The sequence below is a fragment of the Homo sapiens genome, chromosome 2 (assembly GCF_000001405.40).
Source record: "Homo sapiens chromosome 2, GRCh38.p14 Primary Assembly".
Classification (NCBI taxonomy): domain Eukaryota; kingdom Metazoa; phylum Chordata; class Mammalia; order Primates; family Hominidae; genus Homo; species Homo sapiens.
The window spans coordinates 124,408,595-124,427,643 of NC_000002.12; the positions used below are offsets into that span (position 1 = coordinate 124,408,595).

Genomic DNA, 19,049 nt, shown 5'->3' on the forward strand with positions numbered 1-19,049 from the left:
AACTGGGAGGCACCCCCCAGCAGGGGGGCACACTGACACCTCACAAGGCAGGGTATTCCAACAGACCTGCAGCTGAGGGTCCTGTCTGTTAGAAGGAAAACTAACAAACAGAAAGGACATCCACACCAAAAACCCATCTGTACATCACCATCATCAAAGACCAAAAGTAGATAAAACCACAAAGATGGGGAAAAAACAGAACAGAAAATCTGGAAACTCTAAAATGCAGAGCTCCTCTCCTCCTCCAAAGGAATGCAGTTCCTCACCAGCAACGGAACAAAGCTGGATGGAGAATGACTTTGACGAGCTGAGAGAAGGAGGCTTCAGACGATCAAATTACTCTGAGCTATGGGAGGACATTCAAACCAAAGGCAAAGAAGTTGAAAACTTTGAAAAAAATTTAGAAGAATGTATAACTAGAATAACCAATACAGAGAAGTGCTTAAAGGAGCTGATGGAGCTGAAAACCAAGGCTCGAGAACTACGTGAAGAATGCAGAAGCCTCAGGAGCCGATGCGATCAACTGGAAGAAAGGGTATCAGCAATGGAAGATGAAATGAAGCGAGAAGGGAAGTTTAGAGAAAAAAGAATAAAAAGAAATGAGCAAAGCCTCCAAGAAATATGGGACTATGTGAAAAGACCAAATCTACGTCTGATTGGTGTACCTGAAAGTGATGGGGAGAATGGAACCAAGTTGGAAAACACTCTGCAGGATATTATCCAGGAGAACTTCCCCAATCTAGCAAGGCAGGCCAACGTTCAGATTCAGGAAATACAGAGAACGCCACAAAGATACTCCTCGAGAAGAGCAACTCCAAGACACATAATTGTCAGATTCACCAAAGTTGAAATGAAGGAAAAAATGTTAAGGGCAGCCAGAGAGAAAGGTCGGGTTACCCTCAAAGGGAAGCCCATCAGACTAACAGCGGATCTCTCGGAAGAAACCCTACAAGCCAGAAGAGAGTGGGGGCCAATATTCAACATTCTTAAAGAAAAGAATTTTCAACCCAGAATTTCATATCCAGCCAAACTAAGCTTCATAAGTGAAGGAGAAATAAAATCCTTTACAGACAAGCAAATGCTGAGAGATTTTGTCACCACCAGGCCTGCCCTAAAAGAGCTCCTGAAGGAAGCGCTAAACATGGAAAGGAACAACCGGTACCAGCCGCTGCAAAATCAAGCCAAAATGTAAAGACCATCAAGACTAGGCAGAAACTGCATCAACTAACGAGCAAACTCACCAGCTAACATAATAATGACAGGATCAAATTCACACATAACAATATTAACTTTAAATGTAAATGGACTAAATGCTCCAATTAAAAGACACAGACTGGCAAATTGGATAAAGAGTCAAGAGCTGTATTCAGTGTGCTGTATTCAGGGAACCCATCTCACGTGCAGAGACACACATAGGCTCAAAATAAAAGGATGGAGGAAGATCTACCAAGCAAATGGAAAACAAAAAAAGGCAGGGGTTGCCATCCTAGTCTCTGATAAAATACTTTAAACCAACAAAGATCAAAAGAGACAAAGGAGGCCATTACATAATGGTAAAGGGATCAATTCAACAAGAAGAGCTAACTATCCTAAATATATATGCACCCAATACAGGAGCACCCAGATTCATAAAGCAAGTCCTGAGTGACCTACAAAGAGACTTAGACTCCCACACATTAATAATGGGAGACTTTAACACCCCACTGTCAACATTAGACAGATCAACGAGACAGAAAGTCAACAAGGATACCCAAGAATTGAACTCAGCTCTGCACCAAGCGGACCTAATAGACATGTACAGAACTCTCCACCCCAAATCAACAGAATATACATTTTTTTCAGCACCACACCACACCTATTCCAAAATTGACCACATACTTGGAAGTAAAGCTCTCCTCAGCAAATGTAAAAGAACAGAGATTATAACAAACTATCTCTCAGACCACAGTGCAATCAAACTAGAACTCAGGATTAAGAATCTCACTCAAAACCGCTCAACTACATGGAAACTGAACAACCTGCTCCTGAATGACTACTGGATACATAACGAAATGAAGGCAGAAATAAAGCTGTTCTTTGAAACCAGCGAGAACAAAGACACAACATACCAGAATCTCTGGGACGCATTCAGAGCAGTGTGTAGAGGGAAATTTATAGCACTAAATGCCCACAAGAGAAAGCAGGAAAGATCCAAAATTGACACCCTAACATCACAATTAAAAGAACTAGAAAAGCAAGAGCAAACACATTCAAAAGCTAGCAGAAGGCAAGAAATAACTAAAATCAGAGCAGAACTGAAGGAAATAGAGACACAAAAAACTCTTCAAAAAATTAATGAATCCAGGAGCTGGTTTTTTGAAAGGATCAACAAAATTGATAGACCGCTAGCAGGACTAATAAAGAAAAAAAGAGAGAAGAATCAAATAGATGCAATAAAAAAAGATAAAGGGGATATCACTGCCGATCCCACAGAAATACAAACTACCATCAGAGAATACTACAAACACCTCTATGCAAATAAACTAGAAAATCTAGAAGAAATGGATAAATTCCTGGACACATACACTCTCCCAAGTCTAAACCAGGAAGAAGTTGAATCTGAATAGACCAATAACAGGAGCTGAAATTGTGGCAATAATCAATAGTTTACCAACCAAAAAGAGTCCAGGACCAGATGGATTCACAGCCAAATTCTATCAGAGGTACAAGGAGGAACTGGTACCATTCCTTCTGAAACTATTCCAATCAATAGAAAAAGAGGGTATCCTCCCTAACTCATTTTATGAGGCCAGCATCATTCTGATACCAAAGCCAGGCAGAGACACAACCAAAAAAGAGAATTTTAGACCAATATCCTTGATGAGCATTGATTCAAAAATCCTCAATAAAATACTGGGAAAATGAATCCAGCAGCACATCAAAAAGCTTATCCACCATGATCAAGTGGGCTTCATCCCTGGGATGCAAGGCTGGTTCAATATACGCAAATCAATAAATGTAATCCAGCATATAAACAGAGCCAAAGACAAAAACCACATGATTATCTCAATAGATGCAGAAAAAGCCTTTGACAAAATTCAACAACCCTTCATGCTAAAAACTCTCAATAAATTAGGTATTGATGGGACGTATTTCAAAATAATAAGAGCTATCTATGACAAACCCACAGCCAATATCATACTGAATGGGCAAAAACTGGAAGCATTCCCTTTGAAAACAGGCACAAGACAGGGATGCCCTCTCTCACCACTCCTATTCAACATAGTGTTGGAAGTTCTGGCCAGGGCAATTAGGCAGGAGAAGGAAATAAAGGGTATTCAATTAGGAAAAGAGGAAGTCAAATTGTCCCTGTTTGCAGATGACATGATTGTATATCTAGAAAACCCCATTGTCTCAGCCCAAAATCTCCTTAAGCTGATAAGCAACTTCAGCAAAGTCTCAGGATACAAAATCAATGTACAAAAATCACAAGCATTCTTATACACCAATAACAGACAAACAGAGAGCCAAATCATGAGTGAACTCCCATTCACAATTGCCTCAAAGAGAATAAAATACCTAGGAATCCAACTTACAAGGGATGTGAAGGACCTCTTCAAGGAGAACTACAAACCACTGCTCAAGGAAATAAAAGAGGATACAAACAAATGGAAGAACATTCCATGCTCATGGGTAGGAAGAATCAATGTCATGAAAATGGCCATACTGCCCAAGGTAATTTACAGATTCAATGCCATCCCCATAAAGCTACCTATGACTTTCTTCGCAGAATTGGAAAAAACTACTTTAAAGTTCATATGGAACCAAAAAAGAGCCCGCATTGCCAAGGCAATCCTAAGCCAAAAGAACAAAGCTGGAGGCATCACACTACCTGACTTCAAACTATACTACAAGGCTACAGTAACCAAAATAGCATGGTACTGGTACCAAAACAGAGATATAGATCAATGGAACAGAGCAGAGCCCTCAGAAATAACGCTGCATATCTACAACTATCTGATCTTTGACAAACCTGAGAAAAACAAGCAATGGGGAAAGGATTCCCTATTTAATAAACGGTGCTGGGAAAACTGGCTAGCCATATGTAGAAAGCTGAAACTGGATCCCTTCCTTACACCTTATACAAAAATCAATTCAAGATGGATTAAAGATTTAAACGTTAGACCTAAAACCATAAAAACCCTAGAAGAAAACCTAGGCATTACCATTCAGGACATAGGCATGGGCAAGGACTTCATGTCCAAAACACCAAAAGCAATGGCAACAAAAGCCAAAATTGACAAATGGGATCTAATTAAACTAAAGAGCTTCTGCACAGCAAAAGAAACTACTATCAGAGTGAACAGACAACCTAAAAAATGGGAGAAAATTTTCGCAACCTACTCATCTGACAAAGGGCTAATATCCAGAATCTACAATGAACTCAAACAAATTTACAAGGAAAAAACAAACAACCCCATCAAAAAGTGGGCAAAGGACATGAACAGACACTTCTCAAAAGAAGACATTTATGCAGCCAAAAAACACATGAAAAAATGCTCATCATCACTGGCCATCAGAGAAATGCAAATCAAAACCACAATGAGATACCATCTCACACCAGTTAGAATGGCGTTCATTAAAAAGTCAGGAAACAACAGGTGCTGGAGAGGATGTGGAGAAATAGCAACACTTTTACACTGTTGGTGGGACTGTAAACCAGTTCAACCATTGTGGAAGTCATTGTGGCGATTCCTCAGGGATCTAGAACTAGAAATATCATTTGACGCAGCCATCCCATTACTGGGTATATACCCAAAGGACTATAAATCATGCTGCTATAAAGACACATGCACACGTATGTTTATTGCGGCATTATTCACAATAGCAAAGACTTGGAACCAACCCAAATGTCCAACAATGATAGACTGGATTAAGAAAATGTGGCACATATACACCATGGAATACTAGGCAGCCATAAAAAATGATGAGTTCATGTCCTTTGTAGGGACATGGATGAAATTGGAAATCATCATTCTCAGTAAACTATCGCAAGAACAAAAAACCAAACACCGCATATTCTCACTCATAGGTGGGAATTGAACAATGAGATCACATGGACACAGGAAGGGGAATATCCCACTCTGGGGACTGTGGTGGGGTGGGGGGAGGCGGGAGGGATAGAATTGGGAGATATACCTAATGCTAGATGACGAGTTAGTGGGTGCAGTGCACCAGCATGGCACATGTATACATATGTAACTAACCTGCACAATGTGCACATGTACCCTAAAACTTAAAGTATAATAAAATAAATAAATAAATAAATTAAAAAAAAAGAACTTCGGAGAATAGCCTTAACCTGTGCTTTGGAACAGACAAAGTATTGAGAGATGGAGTGAGGAGGGGAAGGTAAGAGAGATTTGAGGCTATTTCTTTAGTTGTATGTCAAAGTGCCATATTTTGGGGTACCATTTCCTGAGTTCCAGCATTGGATATAGAATGCTAGATTGATAGTGTTTTACTTTCAGTATTTTTGGATTTCCTTTTTTTTTTTTTTTTCTGATGAGTAGTTTGTTGTCATTCTTGTTGTTCACATGTTACATTCAACAACTGAGATGGCTTTGAATAGGTTGGTGGCTTTAATACATCTAACAGGAAGATCTTTTCTTGCTATTCATCCGGCACATAACTTCCGGCATTGATAAGTGATTGATTGACTTTGATCCACTGGTGAACTTGGGGAGGGGCTGATTGTAGCTTTGTTTAGATTCAATCTGCCTCTACTGTTAATGCTTTCTAGGTGACCTTAAGCTGCTAGCACCAGGAAGTCCCTGGGACCATGCATTGAAAACTTCCAGATCTCAGAACTGTGAGACCTTGGATCTGCTTGACCATGAGCCTCTAAGACTATGAAACTGCAAATGATATGGCTCTGGGATAGTAGGACTTTGAGACTGTGAGATTGCAATACTAAGGCTGCCTCTTCTCAGAATGAGAGTCCAAGATTCCTTCTCATTGGAGCACACCATACATTAGTCACGGGATTAACTCCTATAAAGCATTGCCAGGTCATGAAACAAATCTTTAATCTGGAGCATGCGATCAAATTTTAAACATTGTTTTAAGATGTGTGTATGTGTGTGTGCGTGTGTGTGTGTGTGTGTGATATTCAATCTACAAATTATGCCAAACTCAGAAGGGGCAGCCAGTCATTTGAAGGTGGATAAGTTTCTACTGCACATTTGGATTAGATAAATAATGCTACAGACCTACGGACTCACATGCCTGGGGAGGTGGGATATGGTGCACACAATCAGTAGGGAATTGAGAGTGCTGAAGAGAAGGTTCCACAGTTAGGCTGTAGAAAAACATGACACACTTTTACTCTACCCAAAACAGTAAGAAACCACCAGAACCCATCTCCCTTCCTTCCCTCATACATATCAAAGTGGTATGGACGCAAGGACATTTTAAAAGAACTAAACTCCACAGGGAGGCGTCCTTTCCAGGTGAGCAGGGAAGGAGGACAGCTTCATACCTGTGCCAGATGCTAGTGCTGGGAGCAGGGGATGTGGAAGAGCATTTCTGTCAAATAAAGCCATTCTCCATCTGGATAAAGAGAAAATGTTCAAAGTTTGACAAACCTGGGAGCTGAAATGTTGAATTTGAACCTCAAGAAATTCCTCACCACTAAGTCATTCTTTTATATGAGAGTTTTGCTGCAGAAGGGGCTGCAAAATAGAAAGTGAGCCAATTCCTTCTTTATAAGCCACTTTGTGATACATGATAGTAATTACATCAATCGCCTAATTTCAGAGCTATTAGCTAGCGGGTGTTTTGTGCGTAGTAGAAATGTCAAAGATTATGCAAGATAACCTAAATCCACAGGTGCTATTAAAATATAATCAAGGTTAAGGTTAAGGTCTTTGAAAATGGATTTCATTAAATAGACAAAATTATCTTACTTGGTTTTCACTTTGGTCATCTGCGAAAGCAATGGATCTTCTTTTCATTGGTTGACATTGATTGCACACCAGCAAGTAGGTTTTATCTATGAATATTAGAAGGTGAAAAGAAGAACGTTGATGATTCATAATGAAGCAAGCAAATCGGTATGCTAGCTGACATCCCATCTTAAAGATGAGGTATGATTGGGATGATGAAAACGTTCTGGGGAAGGATGGTGGTGATGGTTATACGACAACGTGAATATGCTTAATGCCCTGAATTATTTACTTTAAATTGGTTATAATGATACATTTTTTGCTACGTATATTTACTCCAATTAAAAAAATATATTAGGTGTGAGCCTTTGGATTTCATCTTCAGCAAAAAAAACCCCCCAATAATTTTCAGGGAAAATGAATGAGCCCAATGCTCAGAGTATTTTTAATAATTCTTTTTTGGCATTGAATAGGATTAGAGATAAAGATCATCTGGATTCTAGGTGTGGTGTTTAATTTTTAGTTTTTTTTTCTCTCTAATATGAGTTGTAATCTTCCCTAATTAATTACATTTCAGGGAGGGGATTGAAGACAATTGTTTCTCTTTGGTGGGTTCAGTTTCCAAGTAGATAAAAGAACTTCAGAGAATAGCCTTAACCTGTGCTTTGGAACAAAGTATTGAGAGTTGGAGTGAGGAGGGGAAGGTAAGAGAGAATTGAGGCTACTTCTTTAGTTGTATGTCAAAGTGTCATGTTTTGGGGTATCATTTTCTGAGTTCCAGCGTTGGATATAGAATGCTGGGTTGATAGCATTTTACTTTCAGCATTTTGGATTTCCTCTTTTTTTTTTTTCTGATGAGTAGTTCGTTGTCATTCTTATTGTTCACATGTCATTCATGTTGTTCACATCCAAATAAAGGCTATGAAGTACAATATTAGTAGACCACATAGCTTTTGTGCTGTGTATTCTTTTGCTTAAACTTCACAAGGAAATATGTAAAAGAACAAGATATAAATCTGAGTTGCATTGTCTCCCTCCTGTAACAACAATGAAATTGTTGAAGAGTAGAAAGCTGTAGAAATTTCAGACTAATTACTAGCCAATTGGGTGATTTGGAGATTTTTTTCCTTCCCTTTTTCTCTTTCTAGGCTTCTTTTTTTAAAAAATCTGTAAAATGGTGATAATGATAATGGAAAGTGCTTAGCATAGTGACTGGCCTCAATTAATGGTAACAATTACTTCAATAAAATCCTTTCCTTCTAAAAGCAGATTGTCAGTTATCTTCCATTCCTCAGTGAGTATGGACATTAGGAACATGGGAATTTCATTGTATTGTTACCTTTGTAAAGCTTTTAGGTGTCATGCCTCAGGACTTGCTAGAATTGCTTTATTCATAAAATGTTTAAGAGGGATTTCTTTTTTTTTTTTTTTTTTTTTGACAGAGTCTCCCTCTGTCGCCCAGGCTGGAGTGCAGTGGTATGATCTTGGCTCACTGCAACCTCCGCCTCCTGGGTTCAAGTGATTATCCTGCCTCAGTCTCTCGGGTAGCTGGGATTACAGGCACACACCACCATGCCCAGCTAATTTTTTTGTATTTTTAGTAGAGACAGTGTTTCACCATGCTAGCCAGTCTGGTCTCAGACTCCTGACCTCATGACCCGCTTGCCTCAGCCTCCCAAAGTGCTGGGATTACAGGAGTGAGCCACTTCACACAGCCTAAAAGGGATTTCTTAAAGAATAATGTGAAGTATTTCTGAAAACAAACAAACATGATGCAGGATTTTCACCCAAGTCATATTTCAATTGAAATACGTGAGAAATTAGGTATGTTCTCAGTACGAGTTCGTGGAGTAACAAATATGGTTTTCCACTGAAATTCCATGATAGCACAGACCTCACTGCCTCTCCTTTCTTCTCTGCAGACCTTTGCAGGAAACATGAATGCTGACAGCGTGGTGCACCACAAGCTATTGCACTCAGTGAGAGCCCGATTTGTTCGCTTTGTGCCCCTGGAATGGAATCCCAGTGGGAAGATTGGCATGAGAGTCGAGGTCTACGGATGTTCCTATAGTAAGTACTCACATGTACCCTTTACCATTGCTGAGTGTGAGTGGCACCGCCTACGTAACATCAGTTTATCTACATTGAGATTGACAATCATCTTATTTTAAAGTTGTTTCTAGACTTTCATATGCATATTTAAAAATGTTCAATTCAATCCCAAAGTAGAAAAAACATTCTACTTAGGACTGTAGGAATGTAGTTGTGATGGTGTGATAAAGGCTCAATGAAACATTCAAAATTAATAACTCTTGGGGAATCAAGTAACCATTTGTCCTTTGCAGTTAAACAAAATTGAGTTTAATTCTTCCCCGGAAGTGGCATTAGGTATTATAAAGTCTTCTCTGCCCTGCTTTCCCAGAGCTATGAGAGAAAAGCATTCACCTTCTTGACTTGTTCTAGAAGACGAGGAGAAAGAACAACTAAATGTAATTCACAAAATGCTTTCTCCTTGAAATGATCTCCTTCATTCATTCATCTGTGAATTGTTTGTATTAAATTTGAAATTAGAGTTCTATCTTGCACATAAAGATTATAAAGATGGGTAGAACTAGTGATCACTCTAGAATAAGGTTAAAATTATTCAGGGAAGATTCCCATCCCTATAATTCTTTCCTGCGCGCTTTATACTGAAACCTGAAATTGCATCATAATAAATAGTTTTTCTGCCGTAAGCAGTGACATATTCTGCTTATATGCTAAAATTCAATGACCCCTAATGCATAAACACATTTGATCACTAACACTTTCATCCAAACTAGTTCAGTAGATTCCTGTTTTGGGCTGTAGGAATTCTTAATGAGTACATGTCTGTACTGTTTTCCATAGTGAGATCAACTGAATGCCTGTATCAGAATCAATAGGAGTGTTGCCTAGAAAATGCATTTCCCTCACCCCATCCCATACATACTGGATTATAATTTCTGAAAATGGAAATCCAAAAGCGGAATGTTTACAAATTCTCCAAGTAAACTATGGATATAGAGTGTCTGCTAAAAATAAAGCCCTGCACACAGGGAATTTACTGGTAAAATGACTGTATTTATCTTGAACAAGCACTTTCAGAAAGAATATGGTTTAGAACAGATGCATCAACAAACCATTAGGCCCAGGAGGAACTGCCTTCCACTCCAAACTTTGTATGATAAAGCACAGAACACCTACAAGGGTATATGTGTCCTATCCTGGGATGTCTGGGGCATCAAGCTCCTCTTGTCACCTCCTGTTTGATAACAATTTGTCACTGCTAGGTTATTTTAAAATACAGTATGGGCCGGGCGCGGTGGCTCACGCCTGTAATCCCAGCACTTTGGGAGGCCGAGGCGGGTGGATCACGAGGTCAGGAGATCGAGACCATCCTGGCTAACAAGGTGAAACCCCGTCTCTACTAAAAATACAAAAAATTAGCCGGGCGCGGTGGCGGGCGCCTGTAGTCCCAGCTACTCGGGAGGCTGAGGCAGGAGAATGGCGTGAACCCGGGAAGCGGAGCTTGCAGTGAGCCGAGATTGCGCCACTGCAGTCCGCCGTCCGGCCTGGGCGACAGAGCGAGACTCCTTCTCAAAAAAAAAAAAAAAAAAAAAAACAGTATGAAGCTTTTATGCTACAATTAAAAGTTTGTTAATATTATTATGCCAGCCATCTATTTTGATCTAAGAATCTTATTACTCTTTAACATGTCCTTATCCTTTTGCTTTTTCTCAGTCTGTTCAGTTGTACTTATTTTTCATGCCAATTGTTCACCCACAGTGTCTACTTGCACAGAAAGAGTCACAGCATCGAGTTAAATCACAGGCTGCAGGGTTGAAAGATGTCTTTGAGCAGCATGTTTAGCATCTTCTGGTGATGAACCCCTTGGAGAATCTGATAAGGAACACTCTATCCAGAAAAATAATAACGATAACATGTATCTTTTCTACAGTATGAGAAGGTTCAGAGGTCTGCTAAAGCCCAGTTCTAAGCCAAGGAAAGAACTCCTGACTTTGTGATAACAGAGTCTACCTTTTTCCATGTAGGCTCCAGGTCTAGTGCATCTTCCAATGGGATAAACTGCCTTCAGGTCAACCTCACCAATAATGGGAAGTTAACAACCTTGGGGAGTTGTCGGACACAGAATGTCTTTATGATGTGCCTCAAGCAGGAACCCTATAATCTTCAATCACTAGTGCTGATGCTTTGGTACTTTTTTTTATTTGGGGGAAATAATTTAAAAAACGAATACATTTCTCAGTTTGTATCTAAAACCAATGGGTTAGCATGCCTTCTGAACCTAATTCTCCCTTTCAGCATTATCATGTTTTTTATTTGACTGGATTGGTTTTCTTTCTTTCTTTCTTTCTTTCTTTCTTTCTTTCTTTCTTTCTTTCTTTCTTTCTTTCCTTTTCTCTCTCTCTCTTTCTTTCTTTCTTTCTTTTTTTTTTTTTTTTTTTTTGAGATGGAGCCTCGCTCTCTTGCCCAGGCTGGAGTGCATGGCATGATCTCAGCTCACTGCAACCTCCGCCTCCTGAGTTCAAGTGATTCTGCTGCCTCACCCTCCTAAGTAGCTGGGATTACAGGCGTGCACCACCATGTCTGGCTAATTTTCGTATCTTTAGTAGAGATGGAGTTTCACCATGTTGGCCAGGCTGGTCTCGAACTCCTGACCTCGTGATACACCCAGCTCGGCCTCCCAAAGTGCTGGGATTACAGGGGTGAGCTACTGTGCCCAAGTTTGACTCGATTGTTTCTATAAACCTAAAATCTTACTGTAAGCACCACCAAACAAAACAGCAAAAGCTCATGGCCCTCTTTAGCAACTACCTCTCCTTTTCCTCCTCTCTCCTGTTCACAGAATGGCTTCTCTCTAAAACTTCTCTTTAGTTGCTCTCCCCACCTGCTTACCTCCCTTCACACTGCAACTGATTCCAATCACTATTGAGACATTTGATGGGCAGTTTAACATGTCAACTTGGCCTTTTTATAGTCCCCTGTTACCCAACCAAACACTAATATAGTTACTGCTGTGATATGTTTGGTGTCTACAATCATTTGACTTTAAGTAAAGGAGATTATCCTAAGTAATCTGAATGGACCTAATTCAGTCAGTTGAAATGCTTCAAGAGCAGAACAGAAATTTCCCTGAGAGAGACGAAAATTCACCTGTGGACTACAGTTTCAGATCCTTCCTGAGAGTTTCCAGCTTCCCCTTCTTGATGGCCCGCCCTATGTACTTCAGGCACGTTTAACCAGACCCACAATTGTATAAGCCAATTCCTTGCAATTAGTCTCTTAATATATATAAGTATCTACTGGTTCTGTTTCTCTAGGGAAACTCTGACTAATACAGAATGTTCTAGAGAAACTACTTTTCTCAAGATCACCAGTGATTTCCAAGAAGCCCAATTCAGTGGACACTTAATGTTTCTTAATTCACTTAAGCTCTCAGCAGTACTTGATTCAAAAAGCTATGTCCATATTTTTAAAACCTCGTTTTTCCTCCTATCTCACTTGCTAATTGGCTATCTCAGTTTGCTAATTGGCTATCTCAGTTCTTCTACTACTTTTCCATCTACACTGCATGCTTTGCTGAATTGACAGAGTTTTGTAAACTTAAACACATCTACATGCTGGTCACCCCACATCTGTATCTCATGGCCTGACCTCAGAGATGATGTATGCAGCAGCCTACTTGATATTTCCACTTAAAGTATAGTAGATATATTAAATAGAATATAGCAAAATGGAACTCTAGATTAGTGGTGCCCTCAGCAACCTGCTCTTCTCTAACACTCCTCCCCATCTCAGTAAACAGCAGCACTCTCCATCCACTTGTCTATGCAAAACTCTGGGAAGCAGCCTTTGTTCTTCCTTCTCTATAACTTCAAGTCCTGCGCAACTTATCTACAGCTCACAGTAACTCTATCAGTTGCTTCCTCCAACAGGTATCTTAAATCCATGTACTTCTCCCACTTTTGTGAGTAGAAGCCTCTGTCAGTTCTTACCTGGAGTTGTTAAGTAGCCTCCTGTCTGGAGTTCCTGCTTCCACACTACACTCACCCCAAAACCATCTTTTACACGGTCACCAAAATGTTCTTTATAAAGAAGGAATGAAAGCATAGCATTCCCCTTCTTGATTCATGTGAAATAAAATTGAGATTTCTTACTGGCAAGTAAAAGTCCTTGTTGAACAATTGTTCCCAGAATTTACAGGGTTGACTCCTTCTGCCAATGTGATTCTTAATTATAATGTCACCTCCTCAGAGAAGTCCCCCCGACTGTTCCTCTAAAGTCACCTGCCTTCCTTCTTGTACACCCACCATTAGCCCATGATTATATGCCCATGGATATGTGATGTGCTGTCATTTACTTTGTGGTGTCGGCCACAACCCAGAATCTCACTGGCTGGGTTTGCTTACTTCTTTCCTGTTTACCTACTCTAGTACCTGCACAGGAAAAAGTACCATGAGACCAGGCACCTTGTCTACTAACAGCCAGCACTTAATTGGCACAAAAAGACAGTCAGTAAGTATTTGTTGAATGGGTACATAGATATATCAATCCAGCCTCATTCTCTCAGCATAGGCAACAAGGTTCATCTGGAATTACTTGATTTTCATAATCTGTTGTAGTTTCTAAGGAATTACTTTTGTTTCTATGGGCTTAATAATTTTTCCAAAAGTTTAGTTGAGTATGTTGCTAAAGATTGGTAGAATTCTTACAGCTCTATAGTTTCTTCAGACTTAACTCTCTACATTTTGGAAATATTAACATATTTCTTCCACTAATTTATTCATTCAGTAGATACCATTTATTTAGCCTTTAAGATACCAGGCATCTTGCAACACTCTAGGAACATCAGAAAATAAGACCTTTTTCTAGACTTTATCAGTCTTGTATTTGTACTTTGAAGCACTTTTCTTGTGATTACATGTCATCAGTTAACTGCGTGATTGTCTAACATCTGCTTCCCCTGACTCGACAAGATAGTTTTGCACAGTGCCCTGGATTGTCAACATTGCCAAATGTTGGAATCTGAAATTCTCTTGGAGATAACACATCCTAATGAATCTTCTAATACCCAGATACTTTTTTTATTCACAAAATCAAAGTTAGCAACCTACGATTCCTGAGCATATGCAGCTCCACGTACAAAGTTTAGCTGTTGACTGGGCCAAGAGCTTCTGGGCTTGCATGCTTCCAATCCTCTATCCCTTGCCTGTGTTCTCAGACCTAGTTCTACCTGAGAATCACCTTGGGACATATATGCTTTTAACATACCTACTCTGGCTGCACTTCAATTAGATCATGATCTCTGGGTAGGGTCTCCAGTGCTTGTATAAGCATTTTGTTGTTGTTGGTTCTAGGCAAGCGTGATGAGGAACCAGAATTTAAAGCTGTTATCTCAAACATCACTTCATTCTTAGTCTGCACTATCATTTCCGTGTCTGTGATTGCTAATCCTAAGGATTTTAAATGAAATCTGAAAACTTGAGAAGTCAGTATAATGTTAAATATATGGGCTCTGAATTCAAACCAACAGACATAGAAACTTGACTTCACCACCTACTAGTTGGGTAATCTTGGGCAATCTTGGGTCCTCTGTGGACACCAGTTTCCTTTTCTATGAAAAGAAAGGTAATACTAGTGTTGCTTCAACCAAGTAATTGTATGAAACAGTGCTTTGCATAATGTAAGCACCCAAAAAGTGTTAGTTACAAGCATCGTTACCTTCGTCAGATATTTAGGCTGCTCACCAAACTTCCCTATATTTTTTTTTCCCACTCTTACTCAGGACCACATCTCATCTGTATGTCCAAGGAAGGTCAGCTTTTTTATATACCAGGTATCCAAGGATTTCAGCACCTTCGTCAGGCCATCTGGAGTCTAGGCTACCTGAAGTTCTGTCTGGGGGCTTCCATTTGAATTTCTTTAAATATGGGAAGCTAATTAACTTTATTTATTTATTTATTTTTTGTATTTTTTAGTAGAGACGGGGTTTCACCGTGGTCTCGATCTCCTGACCTCGTGATCCGCCCGCCTCAGCCTGCCAAAGTGCTGGGATTACAGGCATGAGCCACTGCGCCCGGCTAATTAACTTTTTTTTTTTTTTTTTTTTTTTTTTTTTTGAGACGGAGTCTCGCTCTGTCGCCCAGGCTGGAGTGCAGTGGCGCAATCGCGGCTCACTGCAAGCTCCGCCTCCCAGGTTCACGCCATTCTCCTGCCTCAGCCTCCCGAGTAGCTGGGACTACAGGCGCCCGCTACCACGCCCGGCTAATTTTTTGTATTTTTAGTAGAGACGGGGTTTCACCGTGTTAGCCAGGATGGTCTCGATCTCCTGACCTCGTGATCCGCCCGCCTCGGCCTCCCAAAGTGCTGGGATTACAGGCGTGAGCCACCGCGCCCGGCCCGGCTAATTAACTTTAAAAAACATTATAAATTCTGATAAAGTTAATGATCTGTCAGGCCTCCCAGTCTCATTATGAATTACAAACATCATTTTGTACTTCAGGTCGCCTCTGTTCCACACAAGACCTTGCTCCTATTTGGTTAATTACTCGCAAGTGGTATCATCCAAAATTCATCACTCTCAGAGCTGAAGTCATATTCTCCTTCCTCAGATAAATACTCTTGTAATTCCAGCTTCAGCTGCCCTCTTTGTTGCTGTTCTCATCATCTGGGATCATTTGTCATACATGGTAGAGGCCACACAGTTGTAAATCTCACCTCTGACATGCTAAGGCCCATACAGCCCTATCACAGGGAACTTCAGAAGGCACAGTTTACAGCTCTGTCAGCCCTCCAAGTGGGGAGGGACAGGATGACAGCAGTCAGACCTGGGGCATTGGCAGTCCAATGTGAACTTTGATTCCCACTTTGTAAATCATAGCATTTTTAAGAGTTGGAAAAATCTCCAAGATGCCAGATTCATTGCAGTCCCCTCATTAGATTTGAGAATAAATGAAATTTCCTACCCTTCTTTCTCATAGTTCCTATAGGAATGACTGAAAAATCTCTTCTATGAAGAGACAAATGTACACACATACATGGAATAACAACACTAAAATAAAAGACACTGTGATCTTCCATCTTAAATCAATGACTTCTTTATAACTTTTCTGACTGGTTGAGGATCTGAAGGCTCCTTCAACAGTCAACAAACATTACCCAGTAGGCTCCCTCTGCTAGGCTTCAGAGATACAAAAATAAATAAGACAATCCTTGCCCTTTAGGAACTCACAGATTTTCAGAAGCTACAAAAGGTAGATAAACAAATGCTCATAAATATGGAGGTTTAGGAAACCAAGTCTTTGGCAAGGCTTGCAAAGGAGAAAAAAAATACACAGCTAACACTGTTTCCTGATGAATTAATGCCCTGCTGCCCAGTATGTGATTTGACTGGCGATATTGCTATTATTCCTGTGACCCATATGCTAATGGCAGTGATTTTAAAGGAAACCTGAAAAGGGAAAAATGACCAAGTAGTTGGATCAACCACTTTATGCAACAGTACGTTTCCACAAAAATGCCAAGGCCTTGCCTCCTACAATTTGTTTTGCATTTACTCCCTGTTGAAGTGGTCACTGGAGTGATTGACCGTGACTCCCCTCTGCCTCCTAGCACTAAGTGGCTTAGTCTGTGCCCAGGTAGAATCCTTAACAAAGACTGTTCACCTTCCCTTAAACATAAAACCATACTAAATCTTTTTATTAAAAAAACAGGTCAACTACCGTAAGGGAGAAAAATAATAACTATCGTCTCTAATTTTGACATTGCTATTTAAATGACTCTCATTGTATGAACATCCTTTTAGTGGGCAATTGTGTCAACACTGTGGCTTAAGACTACTGATGACGGTAGAAGTCAGGAAGCAGCTTGTCATTGCAGGATGCTGCTGCCACAACACGGGTTGATCATTCCTTTCCTTCTGTGAGTTTGTGGCTAAGATTTCTGAAACCTCATCCCCATAGTGAAACCTTTTGCTAACCTGTCTATACCTTAGTGGAGTGATCACTATCTTCTCACTGCCCACCATGCACCTCTTACTTAGGTGACCATATGTCCCAGCTTGCTCCTTAGAGTTCTATTCCATTTCATTATTTATAGCTCCCCTTTTCAATCCCACAAGTCCTCATTAGGGTAATAAGTTGTAGGGATCACCATAATGCTTCCCTGTACCGCATCTTACAGTGGCATAGTGATGCATTTGCTATGTCGCTGTTAGGGTGTTCGAGTTCCTCGGTGGCATGGCTCACGTCTTTGTTATCTTTGTATCTCAGAGCTCAGTACAGTGACCAGAAGGAGTACAGAATATGCTTAATACCTGCCAATGAATTTAGGAGTAATGAATAAAATGATACCTACTATGGAAGTTCCCTAAAATGAGTACATTATTTTTGTGTAATCTTTGTCATTATTCAACAGTCCAGTTGAACTACAAATTTTAAGTGCACCCCGAAAGACATCTATGCATCTGAAATATCTAAAAACAAAACAAAACAAAAAAAAACCTAAGCATTATGAGAAGGCGAGTCTTACTGTTAGAGCTAGAATGTATTTCTGCTGAGGTTACGACTGGAATTCAGAGTTTTGATTTTTTTTTGTACTATGATTGTTTTCATGTTTTCTTCTTGAAACGCATCCTGTTTTTTCATGTGCTATCATGCATAGGAATGTCAGAAATTTTGAAAGAAAAGCTATGTTAGGAGTTGTCACAGTTAGCTTTGGAAACTTTCCTCATTTTCATAGTTCATCTGAGGTAATCAGAGTTACTGATAAGGCCTGGCAGTCACAGAATTGGTGGAGGAATCTGTGCAAATTTGAGCTGCTGTGGAAACCCTGGTGGTTTGTGGATTGCTAGCCAAAGCCCTTGAGTCTTCAGTGCAAGAGTATGGTCTGAATAATAATCATTTTTCTTATATAATGTATCATGACATAAGCTTCAAAATGTAATTGTATTGAAAATCATGTTTACTGTGAACAACTGAAGAGTCCAAGTGGGACTGATTGTCTCAGGGTGAATCGATAGCTTCTCCTGTCAATGTTGAGCTTCGGCTTTCTGGCCCGTGAGGAAGCTGACTCTTTGTCCCTGGCCCACTCAGGAGCCCAGCTGGCCCACTTGGGGATTCAAGCTTGGAATCTTCTATTCAGTGAAGCCCTTTTTTTAGCTGGTTTGTTGACAAGCTACCAACATCCATCAAATATGCCAGCATATGCCTCCAGAACTCTGTCTTTCTCAGAAAACAAGCTGTGGCAGCCAGGTCAGCAATTATGGGCCCAGTGGGAAGTCGGCCAGTGCTGGCATTCTCAGTACTCCAGGATGGGGGAGCGCATGCTGGCTCTGTCTTGACCCAAAAGGAGAGGTTGTGCACTGTAGAGCCTGCCTTCATTCTAAGGACTCTGGAGCATGATTGGCCTCTCCTTCATATTCTAGAGAAGACTGCCAATGTATCAGCATCTTAACAAACCACGAATTGAATTGAATTAAGTTTGTAATAATGGGTTCTTAAAAATCGATTTTGAAAAAAGGGGAAGAAATTGTTCACTCCAGGAAGTAAATATCTAACAGCTGTGTTCTGGGTCACTGGCATGGCAGATAAAATAGAGAACTCTGAGGAACAGATAACAGGTATTAATATGAAGGAAAACATTCCACAACGACCACATTAGGGTTTTACTACCTTGGCAAGGCACAATAAAATTGGGTAACGGGGGTAGGTAGCCAGGATTATGCAGGCTGACCATGCAAGTAATCTGATGCATTTTCTAAAACACAAAGAGCTCTTTCTAAAAACCCAAACCAATCATACATTTTCCCTACTTTAAATGATTTAGTAGTTATTTCTCCATTGATATCAGGGTCACATTGAAACCCATATTATTTTATTTTGTTTTTTTATTATTATTTATTTATTTATTTTGAGACAGAGTTTCCCTCTGTCACCCAGGCTAGAGTGCAGTGACACAATCTTGGCTCACTCCAAACTCTGCCTCCCGGGTTCAAGCAATTCTCCTGCCTCAGCCTCCCGAGTAGCTGGGATTACAGGTGCCCACAAGGACGCCCGGCTAATTTTTGTATTTTTAGTAGAG

The 19,049-nt window shown here is 40.2% G+C and overlaps 1 protein-coding gene across 3 annotated transcripts in view; it reads left to right on the top strand.

Moving 5' to 3' along the window:
* CNTNAP5 (contactin associated protein family member 5) overlaps positions 1-19,049 on the top strand; it is an 895,933-nt gene that overhangs the window by 383,308 nt on the left and 493,576 nt on the right. For all 3 annotated transcript variants that reach the window (NM_001367498.1, XM_017003316.2, NM_130773.4), the window contains exon 4: positions 8,849-8,996. In NM_001367498.1, the coding sequence (NP_001354427.1) occupies positions 8,849-8,996 (148 nt within the window). The remainder of the gene's footprint in view (positions 1-8,848; positions 8,997-19,049) is intronic.